We start from the raw sequence: 10,140 nt of genomic DNA on the forward strand, positions 1-10,140 counted from the left end.
ACTACAGGTGTGAGCCACTGTGCCCCACCCAAGTACATTCATTTTTAAACAATTAAGAAGTTTTGTAATGACTTGTGAAATGAGGTGATGAAATATAATTAAAATAATCACTATTTTAATGGTAGTTCTCCATGGAATATTTCACAAAATTATTCAGCACCTTAAGTTTTTAAGAACTAATAATGAAATAATATAATAATAAGCCAGGAACATAGTGTTATAAATAGATACAAAATACTTTAGAGATTGAAGTTTTGTATTCACAGAGATGGGAGTGAAATAAAGCAGTTGTTCTTGTAACTCTTGGCACTGAGACTATGTGACCTGTGATTTTGATATATGAGAGAAAAGCCAGATTTTATATGCAAGATGTTGGACAATAGATTTAGAGAGAAAATGTATCAGAATACACATTGAGGCAATAATTGCCTGTTTACAGATGAAACAGCAAAGACAAGATATAGAACTTCAAAATAAACATAAATGGTAATACTTAGCAGCATATTGAGCCAATTTATTTGGAGAAAATAATGAGAACACGCAGGACAACACTGATGCTATTACTTGTTAAATAGACAAAAATTTATATTTTTTCCACTCAGGAGACTGTTTTTAGTAGTTTACTACTAGACAAGATGGTATGTTGAATAAAGCTAATGTACTTACTCTGTTTTGTTTCTTCTTTTTTTTAAGTTCTGGAATAATTTTCAGGAGAAAGAAAATCATAAGAGTTTGTTTAAAATTTCTTTTTCTTGAAACAGATTTATGTTATTGAAAAATCAAATAACAGGTCACTACATAAATACCCCTGAAATTTTTTTTTTTTCTTTTTTTGAGACGGAGTCACGTTCTGTTGCCAGGCTGGAGAGCGGTGGCGCCACCTTGGCTCACTGCAACCGCCGCCTCCTGGGTTCAAGCAATTCTCCTGCTTAAGCCTCCTGAGTAGCTGGGACTACAGGCTCGCACCACCACACCCAGCTAATTTTTTGTGTTTTTAGTAGAGACAGCGTTTCATCATGTTGCCCAGGATAGTCTTGATCTCTTGACCTCGTAATCTTCCCGTCTCAACCTCCCAAAGTGCTGGGATTACAGGCATGAGCCACAGCGCCAAGCCAAAAATGTCGGTGAATTTTCAGAGACTAGATCCATTCAGTGAACACAGCCAGGGCTCTGTTGGATGCAAATTACAAAGACACAACTCAAATGTACTTTAACTCATGTTACAAAATGCTAAAGGACAGACCTTAGGGAATAAGCAGCATCTCTAGAATTTAGTCTTACCTCTTCCATCTCTACCTTTCTCTGTGTTGGTTCCATTTTATTTGTTTCCTGCAATGACTCATATCTTGTGATTGAAAAACAAGGGGCCGGGCACGGTGGCTCACGCCTGTAATCCCAGCACTTTGGGAGGCCGAGGCGGGTGGATCACGAGGTCAGGAGATCGAGACCAACCTGGCTAACACGGTGAAACCCCGTCTCTACGAAAAATACAAAAAAAATTAGCCGGGCATGGTGGCAGGCACCTGTAGTCCCAGCTACTTGGGAGGCTGAGGCAGGAGAATAGCGTGAACCTGGGAGGCGGAGCTTGCATTGAGCCAAGATCGCGCCATTGCACGCCAGCCTGGGCGACAGAGACAGACTCCATCTCAAAAAAAAAAAAAAAAAAAAGAAGAAGCCTGGTGGATATTCATTTCTGCAAGAATACTCAGGGAGTTCTATCATCTGGGACCTTTTCTGGACATGGTTTGCCTCTCCAGGCCTTCAGAACCATATCTTTCTCCCCAAAACACTTTTGTTTCTGAGCATCCTCAGAGCCCATTTTTTCTGACCCAAATTGCTGCTCAGTAAAGGGACACAGATATTTAAGGGACCTGAGGGGATGGTCCAAAAAGAGTAATTTTCTAGAGTGTCCAAATATTTTTAAGTAATTGTAGAGGCATCAATCAGGATATCACTCTTCCTCCATTCACCCACCAAGAGATTGGGAATTGCCTTGTTCAATGTCAAAAGGCTGTCCTGGCTCACTCTTTCAGCACTCTGCAAAAGATGAGTGTTATCACAATGGAATTGTGCCCACACACACCCAGGGAAAACCGCAGCTTTTGAAAAATGTTATAAACAAAATAACTGCATTGAATTCCACCAGATAAATTACAGATCATTTCTTTGAAAGTTAACACCGTGAGAACAATGTGTTTGATTTTCTGTTTTCTCAAAGTAAAAGTTTAGACAAGTATATTCTAGTAATATCATTTTATTTTTCATTTGAGACAGGGTCTCACTCTGTCATTCAGTCTGGAGTACAGTGGTGTGATCGCAGCTCACTGCAGCCTCAACCTCCCAGGCTCAGGTGACCCTTCCACCTCAGCCTCCCATGTAACTGAGACTACAGGCATGTGCCACCACACCCATCTGGTAGTATCTATACAGATCAGAGTTTACTTCTATATGGTAATGGAACAACTTTGACATGACAGAACATTCATAAGCAATTTTGGCATGTAAGTAACTGTTCTGATATTCGAAGCTCTCAATTGTATGATAAGCAATCCAACTCAACTAGTTAAACAAAGACAAAAAACCTCTACTATATAAACATTAGAGAATCTTACCACATTTTGAGTATTTTAGTAGCTGAGTAAAAGAGACAAAATATATGAACATTTAAAATGCCCTTTAATGTCAGTTCATTTTTTTCTATGATTATAATAGTAAGAGCTGTGCGTGTGTTCTTTGGTTTAAATAGCACTACATTCTTCTTTGATATAATTTTTATATCCTTCCTCCCTCTCTCTCTGTGTGTGTGTGTGTGTATATATACACACACACAATATGTACATAGAATATATATACTGACACATACATACATTCATATATAAAATTTGAAATTAAAATATTAAGTATGGCTGGGCATGGTGGCTCACACCTGTAATCCCAGCACTTTGAGAGGCCAAGGCAGGTGTATTATGAGGTCAAGAGTTCAAGACCAGCTTGGCCAAGATGGCGAAACCCCATCTTTACTAAAAATACAAAAACTAGCTATGACTGGTGGCAGGCACCTGTAATCCCAGCTACTCTGGAGGCTGAGGCAGAGAATTGTGTGAACCCAGGAGGCAGAGATTGCAGTGAGCTGAGATTGCACCACTACACTCCAGCCTGGGTGGAGCAAGACTCTGTCTCAAAAAAATAAAAAATAAAATAAATAAAGAAAGAAAATATTAAGCATGAACATAAAAAAGAACAAGAGCTGGTATAATTAGAATTAGTGTTTTGAAACTTTTCTCTTAAGTACTTTTGGTCATATTAATCAGTTGCTCTAAAATTTCAACATGGACATTTTGAAGGTGCACAGTTGCACACATCCCAATTGCAGAGTTCCAGTTTGGTTCAGATTGAGTAGACACATTCTGCCTTATCTACTGATTACACTGATAATCATGGTCAAAATGCATAATGTTACTAACAGAAGACTCTGAACGTTGGATAAGAGTAGTAAACATTCACCCCTAGACATTGCCATGGGGTTGAAGCCCCACAGCCTGTCTGTATGCTCCCCTAGAGGTTTGACCAGCGGGGCACTGAAGCACTGAAGAAGCAAGCCACACCTCCATCACATGCCCTGCAAAAGGGACAAGGGAACCTTTCCCATTTTAATAGCTACACATGTACCCCTGAACTTGGTATGGAGCTCAGGACCTGAAGGATGACCTAGCGGTGATTTGCCTAACTTGATTTCCTCCTTCCTTCCCTTCCTCTTTCCTTCCCTCCCTCTCATCATCCTTCCTCTTTCCCTTCTTCCTCCCTCCCTCTCTCCTTCTTATTTCTCCTCTCTTATTCCTCCTCTTCCACCCCTCCTTCTCCTTCTTCTCAGTCTTCTTCTTTCTTCTTATGTATTCAAGCTTGAGCTCTGAAACAGACTGAAACTAGAACTGCACACAGGCAGACTGAAGGAGATAGAGACATCCAGGAGATGATTTTCTGAAAAAATTAAAATAGACCACTAGCTAGACTAACAAAAAAGAAAAGAAAGAAGATTCAAATAAACAATCAGAAACAACAAGGGCAATATTACCACTGACCCCACAGAAATACAAATAACTATCAGAGAATATTATGAACACCTCTATGCATATAAACTAGAAAATCTAGTAGAAATGGATAAATGCCTGGACACATACACCCTCCCAAGACTGAACCAGGAAGAAATTGAGTCCCCGAACAGACCAAAAATAAGCTCCAAACTTGAATCAGTAATAAGTAGCCTGTCAACCAAAAAAGGCCCAGGACTAGACAGATGCACAGCTGAATCCTACCAGATGTACAAAGAAGAGCTGGTATTACTCATACCAAAACTATTCAAAAAAATTGAGGAGGAGGGATTCCTCCCAAACTCCTTCTATGAGGCCAGCATCATCCAGATACCAAAACCTGGCAGATATACAACAACAACAACAACAAAAAACTTCAGGCCAATATTCTTGATGAATGTTGATGTAAAAATCCTCAACAAAATACTGGCAAACCGAATTGAGCAGCAGATCAAAAGGCGTATCCACCACGGTCAATTAGACTTCATCCCCGGGATACAAGGTTGGTTCAACCTACACAAACCAATAAATGTTATTCATCACATAAACAGAACTAAAGGCCAAAACCATATGATTATCTCAAAAGATACAGAAAAGGCTTTCAATAAAATTCAACATTCATTCATGTTAAAAACTCTCAATAAACTAGGTATTGAAGAAACATACCTCAAAAGAATAAGCACCATATATGATAAACCCACAGCTAATATCATACTTAATGGGCAAAAGCTGGAAGCATTCCCCTTGGAAACTGGCACAAGACAAGGTTGCCCTCTCTCACTACTCCTATTAAATATAGTATTGGAAGTTCTGGCCAGGGCAATCAGGCAAGATAAAGAAATAAAGAACTTTCAAATAGTAAGAGAAGAAGTCAACTATCCCTGTTTGCAGATGACATGATCATATTTCTAGAAAACCCCATAGTCTCAACCCAAAAGCTTATTAAGCTGATAAGCAACTTCAGGAAAATCTCGGGATACAAAATCAAGGTGCAAAAATTACTAGCATTCCTATACACCAACAAAAGTCAAGCCAAGAGCCAAATCAGGAACAAACTCCCATTCACAACTGCAACAAAAAGAATAAAATACCTAAGAATACAGCTAACAAGGGAGGTGAAAGGTCTCTACAAGGAGAACTACAAACCACTGCTCAAATAAATCAGAGAAGGCACAAACAAATGGAAAAACATTCTATGCCCATGGATAAGAAGAATCAATATTGTTGGCCAGGCACAGTGGCTCACACCTGTAATCCTAGCACTTTGGGAGGCTGAGATGGGCAGATCATGAGGTCAAGAGATTGAGACCATCCTGGCCAACATGGTGAAACCCCGTCTCTACTAAAAATACAAAAACTAGCTGGGCATGGTGTTGTGCGCCTGTAGTCCCAGCTACTCGGGAGGCTGAAGCAGGAGAATCGCTTGAATCTGGGAGGCGGAGGTTGCAGTGAGTCAAGATTGTGCCACTGCACTCCAACCTGGCGACAGAGCCAGACTCCATCTCAAAAGAGAGAGAGAGAAAAAAAGAGTCAATATTGTTAAAATGGCCATACTGCCCAATGCAATTTACAGATTCAATGCTATGCCTGTTAAACTATCACTGACATTCTTCACAGAACTATAAAAAAAACTCTTTTAATATTCATATGGAACCAAATAAGAGCACAAATAGCCAAGGCAATCTTAAGCAAAAACAACAAAGCTGGAGGCATCACGCTACCCGACTTTGAGCTATACTACAGGGCTACAGTAACCAAAAAACATAGTACTGGTACAAATTTATTTGTACAAATTTATTATTGGTACAGACACATAAACCAATGGAACAGAATAGAGAACCCACAAGTAAGACCACACACCTACAACTATCTGATCTTCAACAAACCTGACAAAAGCAAGCAATGGGGAAAATATTCCCTATTCAATAAATGGTGCTAGGATAACTGGCTAGCCATATACAGAAGATTGAAATTGAACTTCTTCCTTACACCATATTAAAAAATTAGCTCAAGATGGATTAAAGACTTAAATGTAAAACCCAAAACTATAGAAATCCTGGAAGACAACCTAGGCAATACCATTCAGAACAGTCACAGGCAAAGATTTCATGATAAAGACACAAAAAGCAATTGTAACAGAAACAAACATTGACAAATGGGATCTAATTAAACTAAAGACCTTCTGCACAGCAAAAGAAACTATCAACAGAGTCAACAGACAACCTACAGAATGCAAGAAAATATTTGCAAACTATGCATCTGACAAAGGTCCAATACCCAGCATCTATAAGGAACTTAAACTAATTTACAAGAAAAAACCAACCCCATTAAAGTGGGAAAAGGACATGAACAGATACTTTTTAAAGGAAGACATACATGCGGCCAACAATCATATGAAAAAAAGCTCAATATCAGTGATCATTAGAGAAATGCAAATCAAAACCACAGTGAGATACCATCTCACACCAGTCAGAATGGTGATTTTTTAAAATAATAAAACATTATAAACTATACCTAACATTTATAGAACACTCCACCCTACAGCAGCACAATACATGTTTTTCTAAAAGAAAATGATATCCTGAAACATTGTTCAGCAGAACTGTTACAATTTCTTTTTAAAAACCTGAAATTTCTTCTTTTAATTGGTAATTATTTTTTTAACTTTTATTTTAAGTTCAGGGTTACATGTGAAGGTTTGTTACACAGGTAAACCTGTGACATGGGGAGTTATTGTACAGATTATTTCATCTCCCAGGTATTAAGCCTAGTACTCATTAGTTATCTTTCCTGACCTTCTCCCTCCTCCCACCCTCCACCCTTTGAGATACCACAGTGTGTGTTGCTACCCTCTATGTGTCCATGTGTTCTCATCAGAATGGCTATTATTAAAAAGCAAAAAGCAAAAAAAAAAAAAAAAAAAAAAACAGATGCTGGTGAAGTTGTGGAGAAAAAGGAACAATTATACAATGTTGGTGGGAGTGTAAATTAGTTCTACTATTTTGGAAGACAGTGTGATGATTCCTCAAAGACCTGAAGACAGAAATGTCATTCAGCCCAGCAATCCCATTACTGGGCATATACCCAAAAGAACATAAATCATTCTATTATAAAGCCACATACACACGTATGTTCACTGCAGCACTATTCATAACAGCAAGGACATGGAATCACCCTAAATGCCCAACAATGATAGACTGGATAAAGAAAATGTAGTACATATACACCATGGAAAACTATGCAGCTATAAAAAAGAATAAGATCATGTCCTTTGCGCAAACATTAATGGAGCTGGAGGCCATTATCCTTAGCAAACTAATACAGGAACAGAAAACCAAATACAGCATGTTCTCACTTATAGTGGGAGCTAAACGATGAGAGCATATGGACACACAGAGGGAAACATGAGGGTGGAGGATAGGAGGAGAGAGAAGAACGGGGAAAATAACAAATGGGCATTAGGCTTAATACCTGGGTGATGAAACAATCTGTACAACAAACCTCGATGACACGAGTTTACCTGTGTACCAAACTGATATGGAAGTGCTGGGAAGGGAAGAGCGTGGTCCCTTTAAATGATAGGGAAGGGGAGAAGGGAAGTGCTGGGTAGAGGAGGGCGTGGTCCCTGGCTAGGGCTCCACCCCCACAGACCTAGGTAAGGACAGGCACTTCTGCTTTCATGCCGAAATGTAGCATTTTCCAAGACCACCCTGGCCTGCTGTGCCCCCATCATGGGCCTATAAAAACCAGAGACCTTAGCAAGGCATGGACACAAGCAGCTGGACATCATAAGGAACACATCAGCAGAAGAAGACACAAGCAGCTGGTCATCGAAAGCACACTGGCGGAAGAGCAGGCCAACAGACACCTGCAGGCCATCAGGCCATCGATGGAGTCTCGCTCTGTCGCCCAGGCTGGAGTGCAGTGGCGCAATCTCCGCTCACTGCAAGCTCCGCCTCCCGGGTTTACGCCATTCTCCTGCCTCAGCTTCCCGAGTACTGGGACTACAGGCACCTGCCACCACGCCCAGGTAATTTTTTGTATTTTTAGTGGAGACGGGGTTTCACCATGTTAGCCAGGATGGTCTTGATCTCCTGACCTCGTGATCTGCCCACCTCGGCCTCCCAAAGTGCTGGGATTACAGGCGTGAGCCAGCGCGCCCAGCCAGGACTTCTTTATTAAGTGGTTTTTCATTAAAGGCAGTGATGTTAAATGTGCTCTTGCAAAGGGAGTTTCTCCTAAGGTTGCTGTTACTAGGGAACTGTTGCTATGGGCACCATTGCTAAGAAATGTTGCTAAAGACAATGTTTCTAAGGATATTGCTAAGAGCTTTGTTGCCAAGGGTGTTGTTGCTAAGAAGATTGTCGCCAAGGGAATTGTATTAGGTTGGTACAAAGGTGATTGCGGTTTTTGCCACTGAAATGGCAAAAATCGCAATTACCTTTGCATCAACCTAATAATTAAGGACATTGTTGCTGCATATAGTGTTGCAATGGATTTTGCTCCTAGGGCCTCTTAGATAAGGGTGTTGTTGCTAAGAAATGTTCCCCACACATACTGCCACCAAGGACATAGTTGTTACTGCCACTGTAACTAAATGCATGGCTGATATGGCCATTATTGCTCTGGTCACAATTACAGTAGCCACTCTTGCAGAAGGAGCAATTCCTATGGCCACCGTTGCTAAAGACATTGTTATTAAGTATGTTGCTATTAATGGAACTTTTTCAAAGAGTGCGGTTGCTAAGCACATTTTGCCAAGCTTTTGCTAATGATATTGTTGAGAGGGCCCTTATGCTAAAGACATCGTTCTTAAAGGTGTTAGTATTAAGGGTGGTGTTGCAAGAAAGTTTTTGCTAAGGATGCATTTGCTAAATCAAGGTTGGATGGTCACTACTGCCACGAAAACTGTTGCTAAAGACAACATTGCTAGGGGCAAAGGTGCTAAGGAAATTTTTGCTATGAAATGTGTTGATAAGATTGTTGATGTTAGGCAGTTTTTAGAAAGGCACTTTCTTTGTTAGTATTAGTGTGTTTTGTGTTTTCTTAGTATGTTTGTTAGTGTGTTTTGGCGTGCTTTGCTAAGAAATCTGCACTAAGTTGCTTTTGCTGAGGGTGTGGCTGCTATGGCCATTGTTGGCAAAGTCATTATTGAGAAGGCATTATTTCTAAGTTTATTATTGCTAAGGAAATTGTTGCCTTTTTGTTAAGAGAATTGTATTAGTTTCCTAGGGCTGTCACATCAAAGTACCAAAAACGAGGTGGCTTAAAACAAAAGAAATTTATCTTACAGTTCTGGAGCTTAGAAGTCCAAATCAGGTGGTGGTAGGGTTGCTTCCTTCTGAGCACTCTGAATCTTTTCCGTGCGTTTTTCCTTGCTTCTGATGGTTCCTGGAAATCTTTCACATTTCTTGGCATCACTCCAGTCTCTGCCTTCATATTCACATGCCCTTACAAAACTTACTCTCTGTTGCTAGGAGCGTGTTTGCTAAGGAAATGCTTGCTAAAGATATTTTTAAGAGCATTTCTCTTAAAGGCATTAATGTTCAAGATATTGTCACAGATAAGTTTTGGTACCAATGCAATTACCAAGAGTGTTGATGTTATGGCCCTGTTGCAAAGGAAACTTGTTGTTAAGGGTGTTGCAAGACTCTTGTGTTAATATCGTTGTAAAGAAAGTTGTTGTTAAGGATGCTGTTCCTAACTGCATTTGTTTCTATGTTGCAAAATGAGATATGTTAAAAGCATTGTTGCAAAAGATGTTCTTGCTAGGAGCATTGCTGTTGATGGAAAGTTTGCAAAGGTAATTGTTGATGGAAGCAATTTTGAAGGTCCTCTTTTTTTTTTTTTTTTTTTTTTTTAAAAAAAAAACAGGCAGAGTCTAGCTCTGTCGCCCAAGCTGGAGTGCAGTGGTATGATCATGGTTCACTAACCTCAAACTCTTGTGCTCCAGCAATTTTCTCACCTCAGCCTCCCAAGTAGCTAGGACTACGAGCACAGGTCACCATACCGGACTTTTTAAAAAAATTTTTTGTAGAGACAGCATCTCACT

The 10,140-nt window shown here is 39.9% G+C and overlaps 1 long non-coding RNA gene across 1 annotated transcript; it reads right to left on the bottom strand.

Moving 5' to 3' along the window:
* Positions 1 to 717: 717 nt before the first annotated feature.
* On the bottom strand, positions 718 to 9,757 carry LOC112268036 (uncharacterized). Its single transcript, XR_002956847.2, has 2 exons — positions 9,380 to 9,757; positions 718 to 1,170 (listed from the first exon to the last, which is right to left on the bottom strand). It is a non-coding gene; the product is annotated as an uncharacterized LOC112268036 (long non-coding RNA).
* Positions 9,758 to 10,140: the final 383 nt, after the last annotated feature.

Source organism: Homo sapiens, chromosome 9, assembly GCF_000001405.40.
Source record: "Homo sapiens chromosome 9, GRCh38.p14 Primary Assembly".
Lineage (NCBI taxonomy): Eukaryota > Metazoa > Chordata > Mammalia > Primates > Hominidae > Homo > Homo sapiens.